Consider the following 22,578-nt stretch of genomic DNA (forward strand, 5'->3'; position numbering starts at 1 on the left):
TATTTTCACCTTTTTCCTCATGATAGATTTGCAGGTATGAGATTATTAGATCAAGGGGTCTGAACATTTCTAAACTTTTTGCTGTGCATTGCCATATTATTTTCCAGAAGTGTTCTACCATTTTACACAGGTGTCAGCAGATTACTTTGGTTTATAATTTTAAACTATACTTGAAACTTAGTAGAAAATAGTGTTTTAGTAGAAATGGTAACTTAGTAGAAATGGTATTTTGTTCTTGTTTTAATTTGTGGTTCTTTATTTCCTGAAGTGTTTTGAACAGTTGTGCTTTTGTATGTGTGAATTATGCCCATGTAAAAATTTTGTCTGTTTGCCTCTTGCAATTTTAATTTTTTTTTAATTTTTGGGAGTGTTTAATATTAGTAAAGATATTGCTGTTAACCCTTCTATCATATTTGCTACAAATAAGTCTTTGGCATTTGTTGTCTTTCCATTTTAGTTGCTTTTTTTGACATGCAGAAGTTTCTAATTTTTATGTAGTCAAACTCTTTGTTCTTCTTTGTGATTTCTTTATCTCTGAAAGCATTTAAAATTACTCTTGCATAAGCATTTATCAATGTTAACAGAAATCAAAACAGAAGATAAAAATGTACCCACAATCTTCTCAATGCATCAAATTAAAGTGTTTTTCCCCCAGGATCCCTGTCAGTCTTTCCTGCGTGTACATAATTTGAGGTAGTTGTTATCACAGCATTGACACTGTTCTGTGTTCTAGGCTTTTCTGTTTATTTTTCCACTAAATGTTATCATCTGACAGCATCCTTGATACATCATTCCCCCAGACTCCCTTTGTGTTTCTTCCTGCTTTTTAAACACTTTCTATTTCCTTCTGTCTGTTTTAGCCAGAGCCCTCTGTCTGGAGCCCACCAGGGACTCCATTGATCCTGCCTCCCTCCCTGTGAATGGGTTGAATGCCAATCTCAAGGAATTTCTCTGCTACTGAGTGGACTTTGACTAGGTGTATTTTCCATACTAGCTTTGTGGCTGACTAACTGTGTGTGCTTGGGCGACTCACTCCATCTCTCTGAGCTGCTATTTCTTCCTTTGTAAAAGGGGAGCTGAAAAGTTCAGTCTCATAGCGTTTAATATGAGGGAGCATTTCACGTGGAGCCTGGCACACCATGGATATGTAGGAATAATAGCTGTAACATGTGGAGAACCTGCTGTGTACTTGGCACTGTACTAGGGGTTTCGCATGCATAGTTCGTGGAATCAGTCGGATCCTTACAGTTTCCTAAGAGGTAGGTTTTGTGTCTGGCTTGACTATTGAGAAAAGTGAGGCTTAATAAATGTTGGCTGTTTTGAATCTACTATCCCAAAGGTAAAATTTATTTATACTCTATTTGTTTATATATCTTTATATGGATTATAAATTCATATATATATGTATATACACACACATACACATATATATTTATCTGAAACTTTTTTTGTGTGCTAACGAACGTCAGCTTGCATACACAGTCAGCACGTCTAGGCCCAGCAAGCACCGCAACATACTGTAGCTGCCAGGGAAGTCTGGAGGAGACAGTGGGATGGCAGGGACAGCAGTCCTTGAATGAGCTCTTGGTCAGCTCCTGCCCGCACTACAGAGCTGTGCAGCTGCCGTCTCTGGCTGGAGCCCCTTGTACTCCTAGACCCCAGACACCAATCCAGTGGCTGCTAAACTCTACTCCCCAGGGCTCCATGGAGCTGGGTCTCCCTTGTACAGCCAGAAGCCAGGGTGCCCTAATGTGTAGCATGTTCAGCGTGTTGGGAAGGCTAGCTTCTCTTGAGTCTGGGAAAGGGCCAGACACCTGGCCCAACACACTGTTATGTTCTATTACTATATATTGCCCAAAAGGGTTTGGATAAAGATAGTTGAATTTCCAAAAGCTTTATAGGTAATCTCTGGAATTCCCCATGCACGTTCCTACAACTCTGTGTCCCTCTGAGCCTCAGGCTCAGGGCGTGGAAGCAGAGCCAGTGTACATGGCTTGGTCTTGGCTCCGTCAGCTCTGCGGATGGAGCCTTCGTGCTAAGAATAGATTTTTCTCCTACCCATCTCTTTCTCCTATGGGAGAGGCCTGGACTCTGGACTCCTGCAGACCAGCCACTTACTCCCTGGCTCCCTGGGCGAGTCATAGCTTCTCTGAATATGGTACCTGAACCCCTGCCCATGGACTATTGAGATGGTATGGACACCACCAAGCTTGGTGCCTGGTACAGAGCAGGTCGCAGAGAAGTCTGAGTTCTTTTCCTGCCTTTCCCATTTTCTCTCCTGTGTTTCTTTTCTTCTTTTCTGTCTCTCTTCCTCAGTGTTATTTTTTCCTTTTCCTCTTTCCTTCCCTCTCCTCACTGTTCCTTCCTTTGTGAATTATTTTTCCCTCCCTCGTTCCCTCTCCAAGCTCTCTTTTGTCCTTCTGGGTATTGCCTTTCTCAAGGCAAAGACCTAAGCCCCGCTACTTCTGTGGGGGCAGTGTGTCATGTCTGAGCTACTCTAGAACTGATTGACAGGTGGGTCTGTGGCCCTCTTTGGAATCTCCTTACTGAACTGAAATCATCGTGTCACACTGACCTTTGGAGCAATGAGTGGCCCCTGAGATTGTTTAAGTTGCTCTTTAGGGAACTTCAGCTTCCTCAGAGTTACGTCTCTTGTCTTTAAAAAAGAAAAAAATCTGATTTTCTTCAAGGGTTTGCTCCCAACCAGGCCAGGGCAGTGGGATGAGGTTTTAAAGGCCAGTTGAATTAAGCTCCTCCCAACTGAGGAGCTTCCTGTGCAGTTGGACAGGAGAGCCTGAGTACCTGGATGATGGCGAAGGTGAGCTAGGGAATTTGCTTTGTGTCGGAGTTAAAGGCCAGAGCTGAAGTGGCTCCTCAGAGTAGCAAGGGGATTCTGAGGAAGGCAAGTTTGCTTCTGGCTGGGGAGTCAGGAATGAGGACTAACTCTAGAAGGGCATGTGATGACTAAGCAGGGGTGAGGTTCAAAATATGGAGCACAGGCCAGGAACTGGCCACTGGGAAGGGGTGCCATCATCTGTGGCTGTTGTGCTGGTATAGACGACTGGTGGTTGCAGCAGTTCCCAGGGCTCCTCGTGAGTTCCACACGGCACTTTTACACATGTTAACCGATTCAGTCTGGGAGACAACCCTGTGATCTAGGTCATGCCATCTCATGTTGGACAGGGAAATGGGGGCTGAGTGAGGTGAAATCGCATAAACCAGCTGTGGAATGGAAATTAGTCCTAGGTTTCTAGCTGGAATCCTGCCTCAGGCTGCCATTGCCTGGGTGAGGTTTGCCTAGGAGAGGAGGGGAAGGAGGTGAGGGCAACAGTGTGAGCTTGGGTTTTAAAAATGCAGATACCCAGGGCTTTTGCTGAGATGAATCAGTGTGGGGAGACTGGAGCAGATCCCAGAGGGCCTTGTGTACCACCCTGGGCCAGGACTTCATCCCAGGACAGTCACAGAGTCCTGAGAGTGGGGAGGGGAGAGGGCCAGCACCTCAGAGTGGTGCTGCTGGAAGGTTCTCACAGCTGTGGTCTGTGCATGCACTTTGGAGAGCAGTTGGGAGGCCTGGGGTGAGAAGAGCCTGACCCAGAGTGGAAGCCATTAAGAATGAAAATCAGGATGGATTGGAGCAAGATCCTAAGAGGAGAACCAATTGGATGCAGTGACTGATGAGAGACATCAGTGACCATGCAGTCAGAGAGGACTAATTCAGAGGCCAGGGCAATGCCATCCCATATCAGAGGCCAGGAATTAGAGGCCAGGAGGCAGCCTGATGGCAGATGGCAGGGTAGAACTAGAGTGCTGGGAATGGGGCTTGGCTGGGGATGCGGTTTGGGAGCGGCCCACAAGGGGGCTGTGGCCCTCATGGTCAGTATGCAGGGGAAGAGTTGGCCTCTCTGGCCACTCTTTGGGGAGGCCTGCAGTGGGCGCATGAGTGATGAAGAAGGGCCTCTCGGGGACGTGAAGGATAGTCAAGGGCCATGGAAATAAAGGTATGGGGTTGTCAGGGAGGAGGGAAGGATGCCACTGCTGGACAGTCACCTGGTCAGATGCCACAGAGGAAAGCGATTGCAAGGGAAGAGCACTGAGTTGACCACTGGGAGCTGCTCTTGACCTTCAGGAACTTCTTTCTCTGCCATGCTTCCCCGAACCCTGGCCCCCGTTCCTCTTAGTGTCACATGGAATTGGCACCCTGGTCTGGTGCCCCAGCCCCTCACCCCCATTGCTCTTGGGAGCCCTTTGTGTATTCATTGTGCACGTTCCGTGGAGACTGGCGCAGAGGAAGTACTTAGTAAATGTCCTGCACTTAAAAGGGAAGGAGACAGAAGTGACCTTGTAAGAAAATCAGCCATAAGCTCTGATGGGTAAACAGAAGTGGGATTTGTTTTGAAATATGAGAAGAAGGAGAAATTGGATGTTGATTGAAAGTGGCAGGGTGGGGGTGTCAAGCAAGAGGGCTTTTGTCCCAAGAGGAGAGAAATCTGGGGCTGTAGGAGTCTCTGGATGTGAGTCCAGGGAAGAGCTTGGAGGGGCTGGGGAGCGGGGCCGGGGCTGGGGTATCAGCATGGGTTCCTGGAAGGCCCCCATAGACCTGGCAGCAAGCTTGGGCTCTTCCCTTCAGGTGCCTCTTCTTGGGCTGGATCCTTCGCCTGGCTTCTGTTTGGGGCTATAGTGGGGGAATGTGAGGGGATGGCCTAGGGTCTGAGGAAGATGGAGGCAGTATTATTCAGAGTGAGGGACGTGCACCACATGTCACACAAGATCCATCTGGGACTGTGCTTGGATGTGGCAAAATTGCAATGAAAGTTAACCTTCTTCAGTTATCTTTAAATCTCTTTTATTAAGTCAGAAAAAATGTCTCAAATTGGTACTGTTGTGTCTTAAAGATTTCCCTAACTTTTTAACCAGGCTCAGTGCCTTCAGCAGGTAATAGTATCTAGCTAGAATTTAATAGCTCTATTTTGTTTTCTTTGTGTTTATTTTTGTAGCTACAGTAGTAGAAGATTTCTTGTCCCCTGAGATTGGACTGTGGTTGGTTAATCAAAAAAGTCCCTTGAAGCAGAGAATCATAAAAAATGACACATTCATGCCTTAAACATAATATTTTAACTTAAAACATATACGTGCATATTTATTTAATAAAATCAACAATAAAAGCTGTTACAGAAGAAATACAACATTCGCAGCATCATGCCTCCCTTTCCTCATCAGCACCAAGACACTGGCAGCCGGGCCAGGCTGGTCTGGGGCTTCTTGGCTGCATGTGGATTTGAGTTCTGAATTCGGGCCTGACTCCACTTCTTCAGGCTGTGCTTTTGAAGAATGTTTGGTTTTTGTGTCATTTATAATTTCAGTTTTCCATGCATGATCACTTATAATCTATATGTTATCTTTAATTCATTTGGTCTGAATACAGTTAAGTAAGCTATATTCTGTATGTTCTTCTTGGTCAGTATGTATGTATGTATTTTTGAGACAGAGTCTCACTTTGTTGCCCAGTCTGGATCTCACTATAACCTTGAACTCCTGGGCTCAAGCAATCCTTCTGCTTCAGCCTCTTAAGAAGCTGGGACTACAGGCATGTGCTACCACATCTGGCTAATTTTTAACACTTGTTTTATAGATGGGTTCTCTCTGTGTTGCCCAGGCTGGTATAGAACTCCTGGCCTCAAGTGATCCTCCTGCCTCTGCCTCCCAAAGTGCTGGTATTACAGGTGTGAGCCACCATGCCTGGCCCAGAATTTATGTTTTTGAAAGCTCTAGAGTTTGCTGATTTGGCAATAAGGAAAAGTTGTAGCGTGTAGGCTCCAGTTGCATCACTGTGGGCAGCAACTGTGATCATTCTGGCTTTTTCTATCCAAGTGTGGCATACTTTTCTTTGCATATGATTGTTTCTCTTGGTCACATCTTCTAAGTTTTTGCGGTTTTCTCAGTGTTGTGGAGGTGCTCTCTAGTAAGATTTCCCAGAGAAAGCCTCAGTGACTGACTTTAATTCTGTTGTGAGTATTTGAACAGCAGTTTCTTTCTCTTTGCTCAGATGCTCTCCAGAGGGGCTCCACGGCTTTGTTCCACCTGCCACTTGCTGGGATATGTTCTGCCCAGCTCGTCTTTTCTTCCAGGATGAGCCCACTAACTAGAGCTCCAAGTCACCTTTCATCTATAAACCACTCCCGAATGCAGTGCACTGCCCACAATTTCAGTGAAGCAAGTCTGAGTACAGGATTTTTCTGTTTTCACACAACCTCCCTGCAGGTCTTTTATGGTTTTCTTATCCACACCTAGTTTAACACCAGATTTTAAGGAGATTTGTCTTTATCACACCTTTCCAGAGCATTCAATTTAGTTTTCATAGAAACAGCTATTTTCACACTGTTGTTTCATAATACTAAATTAAATTATGTTGTTACAGTGAAGCTTATAACGGGCATTACCAACTTTACAGCATAACCAGGTTCAGCATAAAGGTCAGGAGGCAAAAGTGCAGGAAGTACTCACCTCTTGAGCGTGGCCTGTGCGCGTCAAGCTGTCCCCCCCCAGCATGGAGGTTTGGCATGCTAGGAGCCAGGAGCAGGTTTTGCAGAGGGAGTGCAGAGCGTTGCCTCATGGATGTCCTTAAAGTGACCAGTGGTGGGAGGGCTTCTACTCTACCTTTTATTTGTGGAATGTGGTGGTTTTCCATTTAGATAGTGGCATGAAATTGCGTTTTAAAATAAATATATTTAAGTAAGAACATTAATTCTTTTAAGGAAAATAAATGAGCAAATAGCTTAGATGGCACACAAATTTGACAAAGCTTGTGAAGAGGATGTGGGACAATTGGTCTATGTGCAGGTCAACCCTGAGAGAGGAGGAGGAAGGGAGGGAGCAGAGCGACCTTGATGTTTTGTCATCCCCTCTTTGTGCCCAGGCTGGCACTGGGCTCAATCTTCTGCTTTTGTGTTTTGAAAGACCATTGATGCCATCTTCCAGGTCAGTGTCCCTGGGGAGTGGATGCTGGAGGTCATTCTGGGGATCCCAGCACCGTGGGAAGGACAGGGCTCTGGAATAGGGCTTTTGGGACCAGAGTGCTGAGCTCTGGATTCCTCCTTGCTTCTGCTATTTGCTTCACCTGCGACCCTTTAGCAATCATTTGACCTCTCTGTGCCTCAGTTTCCTCATCTCTAAAATGATAATATAATACCTGACATCATTGCTGTGAGGATTAAATGGAGTCATGTGAAAGCATCTAGCCAGGTGCTGTGTGCATGGTGGGTGCTTCACCAATATTTGGAGAATGAATGTGTGACTCTGAATATGGGAATGATGACAGAAGTTCTTCCTACCTTAGAGGGTTGTTAAGAATTCAATAAATTTATGTCTGCAATTTGAAAGTGATAGCAAACTGTCATAGTATTGGGTACTATAATTATAGCTATCATATCGTTTTTTCGTTGGTTTGAGAACTAAAATTACATATATTTAATGTATGTAATTAAGGGCAAGGGTTTTATTAATCTGGCTACAGGACTTAAATATATGTTCCCTGATCCTTGAAGATCAGCTGCTTTCCAAATTCTCATATGGATTTGAGAAGGGACACATGCCCCTGCCTCCAACCTAGGCTGATGGAGGATTGTTCTCATGATAGTCTCAGGTTTAAAGTAAACTCAGAGTTGGCTTTAAATCACAGCCCCACCACTCATTAGCCTGTGGCCTGGAACAAGCTACCAAAGCTAGCCAAACTTTTAGGACCCTCTTCTATGAAATAGGGGGAGGAAGAATAATACCCACCTTTCAGGATTGTGATGAGAAGATGGGGATTGGAAAGCTTCTAGCACAATTGCTTGTACCATTGGTGCTCGGTAAAAGGTCCTGTCTCTTTCTGCCACTCCCACTGTGTTGCATGCTAGACTATATACAGAGAAGCACTTAGAGCAAGCCTCAGTGTCAGGAAGGTAAGGGTGGCTCTTCCTGGCGGAAACAAACTCCAGAACTAGAAGTGCTACAGAAATGTCTCCTGAAAATACATTGGGTATACAAACAATTGGAAGTGGTTCAATATTGTATGGCTTACTTATTAAGGCAATGCAATACAAATTAAAATGAAGTATATATTAAAAATAATTTTTAAAAGACTATTTTGTTATGTGTGCAGTGAAATAGGCATCTTAGATGTCCATTGTGGTAGTGGAAAAGGTAGCATACCTTTCAATCTATTTTCTCTGTAATTGAGATAGAATTCACATACTATGAAATTCATACTTTCAATGTGGAAAGAATTGTACAGCCATCACCACTATCTAATTCCAGAACATTTTCATTACCCCAACAGGAAATTGTATTCATTAAGCCCTTTGCTCCTCATTCTCTGTGCGCCACCAGCCTGGGAACTACTAATCTCCTTTCTGTTTTATGGACTTACCTATTCTGGTATTTCATATAAATGGAATTGCACAATATGCAACCTTTTGTGTCTGACTTCTTTCACCTAGCACAGTGTTTTTGTGGTTCATCCACACTGAAGTATGTATTGATGCTTCATGTCTTTTTATGTCATGTCTTTTTATGTCACAACAGAATAATATTCTGTTGTGTATATATACACAACATAGTTTGTGTATCCATTCATCTATTGATAGACATTTGAGATGTTTCTACTTTTTGGCTATTGTGAATAGTGCTACTCTGGACATGTATGGATATGTACTTCTTTGAGTATTTGTTTTCTGTTCTTTTTGGATATATATCTAGGAGTGGAATAGCTGGATCATGTGGTGATCCCATGTTTCCCTTCATTTTTGTAACATTTTTTACTGCATATAAAATTCTTGGTTGGTAGATTTTTTTTATTTTTATTTTTAACTTTCACTTCTTTGAATATATTATCCTGATACCTTCTGGCCTCCACGATTTCTCCTGAGAAACCAGCTGCAAATCTTATTATGGATTCCTTGTACATGAGTTCAGTCGCTTCTTTCTTGATGGCTTCAAGATTCTCTTTGTCTTTGGCCTTCAACAGTTAGATTGTAATGTGCCAGGTGTGGGTGTCTTTGAGTTTATCCTATTTAGAGTTTATTGAGATTCTTGAAAGTGTAGATATTTTCCATGAAATTTGAGAAGTTTTTGGCTATTAAATATCACAGCTTCCCTCAGGCAGCTGTGATGTTAAACAATTGCCTCTGATTATTTTCAACAAACTCCCCCAGGGAAAAGGCTATTTGCACTAAGCAAGCTCCAAGGCAGGTCAAATAAATATAGCATTGTGAGTAGGGCCTTCCAGGGAGCCACCAGACTGGAAAATCATGATCGTTCTCTGGAAGAAGGGCTTTGAAGGAGCTCAAACCCATTCTGCCCCTTTCAGTGCCTGGCATGCTACTGGTTTTCACCATGATTGGTTTTCAGGACAGCTGCAGAGTTAGCATAGGAAGAGGGCAAGTTAAAACATCAAAAGCTCACTTGGTTTTACTGAGACTCTTCTTGAATAAACACTCCACAGATTGCTCAAGCCTTTGGTTAATTTCCAGAGTTCTGAACAAGTTGATTCTGATCATTTTTGCCAGTGTTCTTTGTTTCCATGGAAGAGGGCTTTTCAGATGTCCTTGCTGTATCATTTTGCTGATCTATTAGTGAGTATTCACTCTTAGATGTGTACCCCACGAATTCATCCCACAGCCAAGGCAAAAAAAAAAAAAAAACATTCATGCCCGCTGACATGTTTATCACAGTGTAATTTATAATAGTGAAAAATTTGAAATATCACAAATAAGTAATGGAGGAAAGCATGTACAAGCATGTAAATTCTGGGTCGTACCATTGTCCAGGTGTCAACAATGAAAGAACAGGCCCAGGTGGAGAGAAGTGTGACAAAGAGACTGAGAGCCCTGGCTTCAGACTCAGATGGGCTGGGTTCAAATGTGGCTCTAAGGTTTATAGCCAACAACTTGGAGCAAATCAGTTAGACTCCCTAAGCCTCATTTTCTCATCTATAAGATGGCAACAACTCCATCATGTGTTGTAGATGCTTTCATTTAAACCTCACATTATAGGCTTGGCTCAGCCATGTAAGTTGTTATTGTTGTTGCTGTCATTCAACAGAAAGTTCTTTGTGATATAATGGTAAATAAATTAGCAGGATATGAAATCGTATACATACTATAACCAAAATCTGAAAAAAAGAATCCCTTGGCAAAGCATGGGAAAACCATGGTTGGAAGAAAATACACCAAATGATGGGATTATGGGTTATTTATTTTCTCTTTCCCTCTTTTTTTTTTTTTTTTTTTTGCCCTAACAATGTTCCTTTTTTTAAATGGGAAAGATAAATGTCCACACAGAATAAGTATGTCTTCTTAAAGATGCGGGGGCTTTGCTAGTAGAGTTTAGGCAAGAATGCTCTGCATTAGAAACTGAGATTGTAGAGGCGTGCTTCCAGGTACATCTGCAGATACTTTTTGGTCACTATTATTTCTTGCATCTCTTCAGAAGGCTGAGATGTATTTATTGGTCTTCTTCAAGGAGGTCTTTTATTCAGAAGCCTAGGGGCCAGGATCACTGCTGCCTCCTTAGGGAGTGCTCTGAAAGTGGAGGTTAATATCTAAGAGAGCCCTTTAAAATTCTGATGTCCAATGCAGGGACATTTCCCCCAGACGGGGAAATTTGGGGCCTCCATTGCATCATGTGCCATGTGCTAGTACAGTGGTGCTGTCTTCTAGGCTTGGTTGATGTGGGGAGAGAAGAGGATGCTCACTGCACTTGGTACTGTGCCAGGTGCTTCATGGACGTGCTTTGTGTCCATGTTGCTGATCTCTGTAACTGTGATGGGACTTATTTTCCATTTCAGGTTCCGAGGTGCACCGATTATACCCGTGGCGGCCAAGCCGGGGGGACCAGAGGCCCCCGAAACTGAAGCTCCACAGGGCATTCCAGAGCTCATTGAGGTACTGTCATCTTGAATCCAGGTTGCCCTTTAGCCCCAGCGCTGCTCAGGCCAGCCCCTTTGTGTCCCTCTCTCCCCTGAGAGAGAAAGAGAGGCAGCCCTAGCAAGAGGACTCAGTTGGTTCCATTAACCTCCCTGTTAACACCTTAGCACAACTCCCCCACCTCCCTCAAAAAGGTAGACCCAAACTAGGACTCCTAAGGTTCACTGAAGCCCATGATTCACCCTCCAGCCATAAACTCTGCAGAGCTCGTCACACCTTGCTGTGCCTCACTTTCTCCTTTCTCTTGTCATACCTACACTCAGACAAAGCAGCTCCCACCCATCTGGAACCCTGGGACCGTGACATCCATTCCAGTCCTTCAGACTGTATCAGCTCCTCCAGTACCCCACCTGGGCTGGGGGCCAGTGAGGCAGGGGTGAAAGACATGAGCCCAACAGCAGGGGCAATGCAGCTTCCATCCTGGGCACCTCCACCAAAGATGGGAGGCTTATCTTCGGAAGCTGTGGGGCTGAGGCCCAGGTTGTTCTTCCTAACTTGTGCTGGTAGTCAGGGAGGGAGCCCAGTCATCCATCAGGAAGGGTGTGTGTGGGTGCTGATGGTGCTGGTACTAAGGAAGGTAGCAGTGAGAATGGAGCCACAGAGTTCCTCCACAGAGTGCTCAGGACAGTTCAGCCGGGTGGAGTAGCAACGTGCATGGCTCTGGGGCTGGACTGTGGTTCAGGGGCTAGCTCCACCACCACTCTCTCTGACCTCAGGCAAATGATCTACTCTTTCTTGCCTCAGTTCCTTCACTTGGAAGATAATAGCACATACCTCGTGGAGTTGTGAGGGTTAAATGAGTTAATGTGTATAATGTGCTCGGTACAGTGCCATGTCAGTGCTTACTGTTACAGTGATGTTGATGTTTACAGGCCAGGCACTGTACTAAGTTCTTTACATACAGGATCATTGACATTCACAAAAACTCAGGGAGGCTGAAATTATTTATCCCCATATACCAACGAAGAGTCTGAGATTCAAAGATGTTAAATAACTTGACCCATGTCTGGCAGCGAGTTACACGGTGGAGCTGGGATTCAGACCCAGGTTGATCGCTGGGGTCAGCTTCACGGCCCCCCTGCACCTGGCTCCGCAGAGCCAAGATGAGATGTGACCACGTACATGCACTGCCACCATTTCTGTGATTTACACGTGCTGATCTTGTCAGCTTAGCAAAACAAATGTTTTCTGGGTGAGGCTTTTGTTACTTTTTCATCAGGCTCCTGAGAGCACTTGTCTGGGAGCCTGGGATAGTTGTTTTTGTTAAAGCGAAATCCTCAAAAATGCTGCTTTGAAAGATGTTTGTATATTCCTTTAAGAAGCCCCTACATAAATCTCAGACCAAGCCTGTTTTGTTTGAATCTCTAGTGTTTTTCCAAAAGAATTGTTATCACAAGACTAAGACTTTGGAACATTCACCACTGAATACTTTTTTGACAGCCTGTTCCCTTACGAAGTGAAAAAGTAGCAAACACAAGGAATCCTAGTCTTTGTTTTCATTTGTTTATTGGTGATGAGCCCTGACAGCATCTCCCGGCACACAGGTGGCATGAGGAGAATCGGCTGGTGAGGCTGAGGCGTGTGGAGTCCGCAGAGAAGGAAGGACCCTGGGAACAATCCTTTCCTCCTCCCTCTCCCCACATCCCCTTGTTTCTTCTTCTTTCACTTGTCATTCTCTCAGGCATGATGCCAGCTACTGGAGATACCTGGCTCTCACAGCCCTATGGGGGAGATAATAAAGAGATGATCACAGGAGAGTGTTAGCTATAGTGATGGGGGCAGGGGAAACGTGGCCATACAGAGAAGCCTGTCCAGAGGAGGTATTGCTGCAGTACAGGCGAGGCTCAGCCAGCTGGTAAAACTCTAGGCCTGCTGGCGGCTGGCTTCTGGCATACGTCAGGGAGTGGCGGAAGATGAGGCCTAAAAGGTACCTAGGGGCTAGATGATGAGGAGTTTTAAATTCTGAAGGCATCAGGAGGCTGGGGAAATGCATGAGGCCAGGGAGCAATGCGACAGGGTGTCCTTTAGTGGCTACTCTCCTGCAGCATGGAGGGCCTGGCAGGACAGACCATTGTAGCAGTCCCACGGGAGAAGACAGACGAGGCTTCTCCAGGTGCCCTTTCCTTCAGACTGAGCGGAAAGAGCTGAGAGCATGGCAGAAGCTTGGAATGCAGTCAGGGAGTTAGGTGGTTTTGATCTCCTGTCCACCTTGCCAGGGCATGGACCTCTGAGCTGAGTTCACCTTGGCAGCCTTGATGAACTGCTGGTCAGCCACATTCTCTGCCTTCCTCTGCCCTGCCCCATCTGGCTCCTCTCCCCACGGACTGTGGCACCAGTTTCTCTTTTCTAGCTCCTGACGTCCCAGATTTCCATCCCAACGAGAGATCCCTCGGGACCGTTCCTCATGTCTGTGGACCACTGTTTCTCCATCAAAGGCCAAGGCACTGTGATGACAGGGACCATCCTTTCAGGCTCCATCAGCCTCGGTGACAGTGTGGAGATCCCTGCCCTCAAGGTCAGTCTTACCTTGTCTTCCCTTCTGGCCTCCTCGCTGGCAGCAAGGGAGGGGGACTGTCCCTTTGTCTGTTCAGCTGCTGAGCCTGCTGCTGTGCCTGCCCTGGGACTCCCACTGCCTGCTCCGCCCCACCTCCCCTCTGGCTGCCTGGCCCCGCCCGGCTCCAAGTCTTTCAACTCAGATTCTAGGACTGCTGCTCTCCCTAATTCTCATAGCGCCTGTTTATTGGAGGCCTATGATGTGCCTCAAGGAGGTGTTCCCAAGTAGGTCTTCTGTGTAGATAAAGAAACTGAGGCTCCAGAAGGTGAGGTGGGCTTGAGATCACATGGTTAACAAGTGGGGCTGCTGGAGGGGAAACCTCCCTTTCTGGACGCTGTACGTCAGGGTGGCAAGTATGTGTGGAGTTATTTCTGGGTACCTTTTTCTTAACCACAGTAATTTCAAATTAAACATGACGTGAATCTTATGATGCTCAGAATCACAGAATCTGGAAGAAATCCAGGTTGGTTTTGCACTCCTGGTGGCCATCGACAGATGCCGCATTATTCTTCTGAAGACCTGTGAGAAGGATGAGTGGTTGGTGCCTTCCCATCACCCCTCCTTCTACTATGATGGCCTGGCTCTGATTTAAAAGATAGTGCCTTGATATTCCCCTTATTTAGAAGGCATTTTTAATAGTTTTACTTTATGCGACAAGAGAAACTTACAGCCTCATTGACTGCCCTCCCCTTCAACAAGAATAAAAGGTAGGGAACACATGCTACTTAGAATTCATGTGAGACCTTGCCTGGAATGCTGGGGTCCAGGGCAGTTCTCTAATCCTTGAAGGAGCCTACAGTGCAGGGAAGTGGAGGTGCTCAGCCCTGTGGACTCAGCTAGCTGCTAGAGAGGCTTGGATGTGCATGATTTCAATTTGCATGTTAATTGGGAATGGCTACCTGGAGGCTGTATTGAGGCATTTTAAGGTTGTCTGGCTCACTAGGTGTGTTGGTTAAGGTTCTCCGGAGAAACAGAACCAATGGGAGATACAGATATCTAGGTATCTATAGATACATAGGTAAAGATACATAGATGTAAATATGTAGATATCTGTATCTCCTATTAGTTTTGTTTTGCTGGAGAACACCAACTAATGCACCTAGTATTAGATGCAGATAGATAAATAGATACGTTTTTTAAGGAATTTGCTTATACTATTATAAAACCTGGCAAGTCCAAAATCTACAGGGTAGGCTGGCAGGATTGAGGCCTAGGGAGGAGCTGCAGCTTGAAGGCCATTTGCTGGCAGAATCCCCTCTTCTCTGAGGAGGTTAATCCTTTTGTTCTTAAGGCCTTCAACTGATTGGATGAAGCCCACCTACATTATAGGGGTCATCTGCTTTACTCAACATCCACCAATTTAAATGTTAATCTCATCTGAAAACACCTTCACAGAAACACTCAGAATAAAGTTGGAGCACTGTGGCCCAGCTAAGTTGACACATAAAATGAACCACATCACCCGCTGGGTGAGAGGGCCATGATAGCAGCACCTGGCCTGAGTGAGGGAAGTGGAGAGGGTCCCTACTGGCACCCATGTCTTGCGTGTGCCATCCCTCATCTAGAGCAGCATGGTTGGATATAGGGAAGGGGCATTTCATGGAGGGCAGGCATGAACAGGGTTCCCCCAAATGAAGGCAACCTGAGGTTTCAACCCCCCAGCTCATTTTACAGCAGTGTGTCTATTACTTCCTTCTGCAGGGGCCAGGGGTATTAGGGAAGAGTCTCCTGACCAGAAAGGACAAAACAAAAGAAAGGACTTGGCTCTGGCCAGGTTCCAGAGCTCCTTGGATCTAGTGGGAGGAGTCGAATGGCAGGGCCCCACCATATCCAAGGAGCCCTGGAACCTGGCCAGAGCTGGGTGTTAGGATGTCCCCCAGACACTGTGAGTCACAGTCCCCTCCTTTACCTGCTGTCATGTCCTCCTCTGAAGACCATTGGTCCCAGAAAAAGACCACTTGAATAAAATCTAGTTTAAGCCAGGGACTAAAAGTGCAAATCTTCAAAAATAAAGCACAAAAGTGTAAAAGTAGATTCAGTTTATATTTAACAAAATTAAGATTACTTTGGTGACTGTTTGCAGATTCTTTGCTAGAACAGAAAATGAATCAGTACTAAATTTCTTTCCAGTCTCTGTGCTTCCTAAGTCAGACCTCTGGGGGCCACTCTGACCTGGCATCCCTTCCACTCTGGGAGAAGACATGCTTGCAGCTTGGGAGAGGACCTGGGAGTATGAAAGAGGTGTCAAAAGAGGGCTCTCTGGGGGGTGGGGTAGACTTTGAATTGGGGGTACCTGAGGTTCTAGAGGGAGAAAAAGGTTTTTGATAAGAGTCAGTGGCTGCAATGTTAGGGCTGAGGGCATGGAGAAGGGCTGAGGCAGAGAAGTCAGTAGTGGTAAGGAGGCAGGGATGTTCGAGTGGGGTCCTGTTCTGAGCTTTTTGGCCACCCTCTTTGTCCTTATAAAGGTGGAACTTGCCTATCAGGATGCCAGTTACTGATCTTTAGTACTTGGGCACATGGCAGGTGCTTGGCAGATACAAATTTAATTCTCCTTTTACTTTTGTGCACCTGTTTTTCCCCAGCCTACTTTTTAACACTTTTGGTGTCTACTGCCTGATGATCTAATTTACTAGTCAGGAAAAGCAGAACTTGTAAGCAATGTACTGAGACATTTGGTTAAGGAGATTTCTAAGCAAACTGTGAAAGATGCTGCCTTGTTTCTCCATTGATGCTTATAGTAAAACATGAGGGAAAAGGAATGAATTGAGGAAGGAACTGTTAGCAAACAGAAATCAGCGCTTGATGATTTCGGAGGTTCTCAGTCCCTCTAGATTGCAAAGGATGTTAAGATTAGGAAATTCACTGCTGAGAAAGCATACCTTGGAGAGAAGGCCAAAGGTGAGCCTGGACAACCTTCTGTTGAAGAGAGGAGGTGTGTGACTCACAGATCCAAGCAACTTAGCAGCAACCAGAAATAGAGATGGACTTCTATAGCAAAGTTATGCGGAGAGCCGTCTTGGCTAATGGCATGGACCCCTTGATGTATATAAGAGACCCTCAAGGGTTTTGAGAATGTTATACCAGCAAGAACACTGGACTGAAAGGGAGAGAGACTTGACAAATGAATAAAAAGCTGTCAGACTTCTGGGATTCTACAGACAAGAAACAGGCTGATAGAACAACTCAGCTACAAACACATGTTATCCTTCAAAAACTAAAAAAGGAAGAATGACTCTGAGAGCAGGGCTCTGGAAACAGAAGTGAGGCTAGGGGAGTAGCCACAGAGGTCAGTCTCAGGTATTGAAACCTCATGGAATTTGCCCTGCTGTGTTTTAAACTTGCTTGGGACCAATGAACCTTGTATTTTTTCCACCGTCTCCCTTTTGGAATGTTAGAAGTAGGTAAATTGTTTTCTAGGTCCACAGATGGAGAGGCATTTTGCCCCAGGATAGACCATATCTAGAGTCTCACCCCTACCTGATTAGGTGACTTACATGATGACATTAGGAACTTTTTGAGCTGATGATAATTTAGATGAGATTTTGGACTTAGAGTTAATGGCCTAATGGACTGAGAGTTTGGGGGATGTTTGAAGAGGTGAATGTATTTTGCATGTGGGATGGATGTAAATTTTGGGTACCAGAGGGTAGACTATAGTAGGTTAAATTATGGTCCCCCAAAATATGTCTACCAGAACCTCAGAATATGACCATTTTGGAATAAGGGTCTTGCAGATGTAATTAAGGTAAGGATCTTAAGAAGAAATCATCCTGGATTAGGGTGGGCCTTAGGTCCAATGACCAGTGTCCTTATAAGAGACAGACAAGGAGAAGACACGGAGAGTCACAGAGAGAAGTCCATATAAAGACTAAGGCAGAGATTGGAGCTCTGTTGTTCCAAGCCAAGGGGTGCCCATGGTTGCCGGAAGCCCCCAGAAGCCAGGAGAGAGGCATGGAGATGAGTCTGCCTCGGTGCCTCCATGGGAACCATCCCTGCTGACACGTCGATTTGGACTTCTGGCTCCAGAACTGTGAGAGAAGAAATATTTTGTTGTTTTAAGATATCAAATTTGTGGTAATTTGTTATGGCAGCCCTAAGAAACTTATGAATTTTGCATGGAAAGGACTGAAATCAGAAAAAGCCTTAAGTTCTTTCTGATCCTGTCAGGTCCCTTAACTCTGAGCTTTGGCTTCCTCGCAGGGAGTCGCTGCCCCTGCTCACCATCTTGGGCTTCTGGGGGCAACATGTCAGAACCATTGCATACTGATGGCCAGCACTGCCCGTTCCTTTCTTTCCTGGCATGCCCATCCCACAAGTGAGAGAACCTAGACCCGGGAAACTTAAGCAACTGGACAGCAGAGCTGGGACTTGAAGTCATTCATCCAGCTCCAAAGACCCAGCCCTGGCCATGTGCCCTGCTGTCACGGGAGCCCCAGAGGAGATGCCTGGGCTGGTAGTGGTGCCTCTACTCCAGGGCAGGGCCTGCAGGCCCCATGGCAGTTCTGTGGCCATGCTGCTGTGCTTTGCTGAGGCCTTGCCTGGGCTGCGGCATGTACGAGAGCCCATTGCAGCAGAGCCTGAGGTTCAGAACTCCTGACCTCCTCTCACCCCTGCCCTCTTCCAGCCATGATTGGTGGCCAGTGCCTATTGGGCACCGGGACATGGGGGGCCATGGCCCTCTTTCCAAACACAGTGACATCCCTGTCAGATTTCACTAATAGACTTGGACACATCTGACCGCTTGAACTCCCTTGGAGGCAGGGCACAGCCATTCCAAATAAACAGTCACATTCCCCTCCCAGTCTGGGCTGGCCTGCGGAGCCTGCCATACCCTGGCCCCCGTTTCTGTTGCCCAGGTCTGTTCCCAGCTGGGGCCAATTAGCTGAGCAAGAAAATGTTGGGGAACAGGGAGTGAAGGAGAAAAAAATTCCATTTAGTCCCTAGAACAGTTTAAAGGCCACTTATCCTAAGAATCACCAGCTTTCTGCTGAGGCATTTTGACTCTCTCGATCTTCAGCCTGAGAAATCCCTCTGATAAGATTTGATCTTCGGGGTTCAGGCTAGTGATGTTTCTGGTGATGATTGGCTATCAGGGTTGTAACATCAGAAACTGTTGAAGCCACAGACCATGGGGAAAGAGAGCAGGGGCTGGGAGTGCAGAGGGACTCAAGGCAGGCATGTACCAGCTCTGTGTCCACAGGCAAGTCAGTCAACCTCTTCGTGTTTCACTGGTTCAGCTCAAACTTGGGATGACCACTGTGTGCTTGGCTCTGTCCAGGACCTCTGGAAGATGGGTCAGGGTGGTGTGGTGTGGACTAGGGATAATGTATATAAGGTTCCTGGCATCTAGGAGATACAAGCTTTAGCTGATACTCTTGTCATGTTTATTGTTGCCATTTGATATTATTCTCATGTAGAATTTTTGTTGTGGGTTCCGGAAGTAGTAAGTGTCAGGGCACCTTCCTGGGTGTAAGGTCCTGTTCAGGGCTACTAAGTGAGTTATTGAAATGCAAATATGCTTTGCGGACCCCACTATGTGGACCCCACTATGGTCCACTATGAATCCAATCAATGTTCTGATAATGATGACAAACATTATTAGATATATTTGGATACCTATTTAGTTGATAAAGCTTTTAGGGAAGAGTTCAGAATTTGATAACATAGTCCTCCCAAATCAAGTCTATATTCAGATTGATTTTCTTCTTCATTGAAAACCCCCCAGAAAGGGAAAAGAAAACCTTAAATACTGGTAGGTGTTTTTACTTTTACCTTTGCCTCTGCTCTTTGAAGCTAATCACAAGGGTGAGATAAGATTATGACATCTGGAAAGAATCCATTTTCTTGCCCAAACAAGCCTGCAGTCTTGACTCTTCCAGATCTGCCCTTCCCCCACCTCCAGCAACGCTGTGCACTCCCCTTCCCAGAGGAATGCTGCATTGCTTCTCTCCTTGGAGCCCTTCCGGGCTTTCCCCTACCTGCAGTATGCTCACTTTCCAGCACAGCTCAGGGCTCACATCCTTTGGGTAGAGGTGTGCCCCGTCCTCTGTGCTGCCTGCTGCTTGTATTTGTCTTTGTGCCTGCATCTCCTGTGGACCCTGGTCTCCCTGGGGGCAGAAGCTGAGTCTCCTCCATCTTTGTATTCTCGGCATCCATCCTGGGCTCGGCCCAGAAAATATTTGGTGAAAGGAATAATAGGAAAAAGCCAATAAAGGAAATAAACAAGTTGTTTTTCAGTAGGATTTTGATTGGAAATAGGTAATGAGTGACCTGAGAGGGCTGTGTTTGGAGTCACTGCCACCCTGGGGCCATTTACAGAAACCCAGAGCTGGGCAGCCCCCCACTTCCTGCTGGGGCTGTGCCCCTGTCTTCAAGGCTGCATCCTGATGCTCCATCAGTAAGCAGCAGTGGAGATGCTCCCTGTGTCCCTGTGCTGCCTCATTCTGGGAGCAGTGACTGTGAATCAGGTGCCCGAGGCTGCAGAGCTGGCTTTCCAACACCTGTGGATATCGGCTCTCAAGGCTGAGCTCCCTCTGCTGCCATGTGTTTTTATCTAGAAAATATTGAGTGACCTTCATCCTGAACTATTTTCTGTTCCAGAAGATACATAAAGGAAGGCAGTTTCTGTGCATTTGATGTTTCATGGTTGTCTGGCTTTTGGCAGTGGAAGCTTACGGGATTCTGCTCTCTGTGCCCATGTGTGGTGCACCAGATGCACAGGGTTGGAGCTCCCTGGGAAGGAGAGAAGGCAGAGAAGGAAACCAGGAAGGTTTTGGGAAAGCCAGAGGAAGCCATGCTAGGCCCTTTGAGCAGATCAGCCCACCCTTGGTTGTCGCCCTCAGGAGGGACCTCGCAGATCAGGCCCTTCCTCTGCAGCACCATGGCCACTGCTCAGGTTCAAACTCCCGGGCCCTGCAGGGCCGCTTCTGTGGCATGCTGCTCCTCCCCTTGCCTCCCAGGTCTTCTTCTTGAGTCCAGCCCAGCCCTGCTGACAGAAAAGCCTTATTGCTGTCCTGCTCATCTGTCTGTGGGTCCTCATTGTCTCCAGGATAAAATCTAAAGTGCATGGCACGGAAGGCAGAGCATAGCTCTTCATTATCACCTCTCCAGCCTCAGTTTCTTGTCTTAAAGCCTCATAAGACCTCCCACTGCTCTCTGTGTATCAGGCAGTACTCTGGTTTCAAAGGACAGAAACCCAACTTCAATTGCCTTAAGCAGGATAGGAAACAGATAGGCTCAGGGCTGGAGACGTCTGGATGTCATCAGGAGTGCTGGCTGGCTCCAGAACTGGCTCTGCCCTGTCGTGTGTGGGCCACACACTCAGGTGGCACCTTCCCTGGCATAATCCCCACAGCTCTGGCTTTCCATTTTCTCCTTCAAATCCAAGATGCAGTGCTACTTGTGGTTGACTCCTGAACATCACGCTATCGAAGGATCCGTCCTGACAGTGGAACACCCCTCCCCTGGCAGCGGCTTGTTACCTGACTCTGGCCAATGATATGTGAAGGGACATGTCCTAGGGGTTTGGGGAAAAGCTTTTCTGCTTTTTGGAACTCAACAGGAAAAGACAGCTTTTCTCCTTCACTGGACATTGAAGGGAGGAAGGATGTGACGCCTGGACTCAGGGGCTGAACGGCCACCTTACTCCCAGGCTGGAGGTTTGCAGAGGCTGGGAGGCAGGAGAGTTGCCCAGAAGCAGAGCCTGCACCTGAGGGCTGCTGTGTGTCTGCCCCGCCTCAGAACTTCGTGTATTGTGAGAGCTCTGTCTCCACACGGTTCCAGTCAGGGCTATCTGTTACTTTTGGACCAAAGTATCATTTATGATATGAGAGCAAAATGGCATCTCTTTCCTAGCTGTTAGGAACACAATTAAGGAACAGGCTGCTCCTGGCCTGGTTGGACGGGAGCTCATCCCTGTGGATGAGTACAGTGCTCTAATTGGGCTGGCTGGGTTACATGTCCACCCCTGGAGCTGGAAGGGACAAGGTGGGAGGGATGGTTCACTAAGAAATTTGGGTTACTCCTAGGAAATGCAGAATAGACATCAGGCAGGCAAAACTGAGAGGTATCCACTGGCTTGGTGCTTCCCAGTGTCCACACCATCACAGCTCAGGTGCTGGACACAGATGGACTATGTTTGAGTCCTGCCCCATCACTCACGGGGCAGTTACCTCCCCTGGCTTCCTCCAGAGGTTGTCATGAGGATTTGACAAGAGCCACGTAGCGTGCTTGCAGCAGGGCTTGACGTAAGCCTCACTGTCTTTATCACCACCCTGTACAACTCTGCATCTTGTCTTTTCTTTAATGGGCCTTTTTACTTGGCCCATGGAGTGCAGAGACTTGGGGTGGGGTGGTCTGAGCTCTGCATTTCCTGCCTGCACCCAGGACCCCAAGAGCCTCTGTGAGGTCTTGCCTTTCTCCTGGCTTGAGGATTTGAATCACACCTGCAGCCAAGTTGTAATATCCTGTTGTCTCCCTAAGGAGGCACAGCTGAGGAAGGACAGTCGCCAGGCAAAGATGGAAGGTTGACCTCACAGGAGGCAGGGAACTCAGGAAGACTTCTCTCTGCAGGTGCTGTTGTCAGAGATCAATGCTCAGTGTCCTAAAGCTCTGGCAGGTTGGAGGATGCTGCCCCTGCAGGCCTTTTTCCTGTGGAAGCTTGGAGCTTGTTCTTAACCCCCAAACCCCAAGTGAATGGCATGCCCTTTTCCATCAGGCCCCTGAGAATCTGTTGCAGCTAGACGAACTGCTACCAGCATGTGCTTCCAGAAGCGGATGACTGGCTGGAGTCCTGACCTGCAGTCAGCTGTCCAGGCAGAGGGTACAGCCAGGTTCTTGTGCTGAGAGCGGCCTGGACCTGTGACAGTGGGTCTGTCTGCGCTCCTGATAGGCCTAAGCATTTCACACAGTCTTCTGCAAGGATGGCACTGGGTGGCCCAGGCATGGTTGGAGCAGGGGAGAAATGGTGGCTTTAACCCAAGTGGTGTCTTCCTAAGGAAGGGGACAGGCAGGAGTGGTGCTGCCCCACTGCTGAGGTGGGCCCCCTTTATAGAGATGCCA

The 22,578-nt window shown here is 46.7% G+C and overlaps 1 protein-coding gene across 10 annotated transcripts in view; it reads left to right on the plus strand.

Annotated features, from left to right (window-relative positions):
- The window catches only part of EEFSEC (eukaryotic elongation factor, selenocysteine-tRNA specific), a 272,743-nt gene that overhangs the window by 97,822 nt on the left and 152,343 nt on the right, over positions 1–22,578 (plus strand). For 7 of the 10 annotated variants that reach the window (XM_024453695.2, NM_001437809.1, XM_024453693.2 and 4 more), the window contains exons 3-4: positions 10,826–10,922; positions 13,315–13,479. In XM_024453695.2, coding sequence (XP_024309463.1) covers positions 10,826–10,922; positions 13,315–13,479 — 262 coding nt within the window. The remainder of the gene's footprint in view (positions 1–10,825; positions 10,923–13,314; positions 13,480–22,578) is intronic. The other 3 variants (NM_001437812.1, NM_001437815.1, NM_001437813.1) reach the window with 1 other exon arrangement.

The sequence above is a fragment of the Homo sapiens genome, chromosome 3 (genome assembly GCF_000001405.40).
Source record: "Homo sapiens chromosome 3, GRCh38.p14 Primary Assembly".
NCBI lineage: Eukaryota > Metazoa > Chordata > Mammalia > Primates > Hominidae > Homo > Homo sapiens.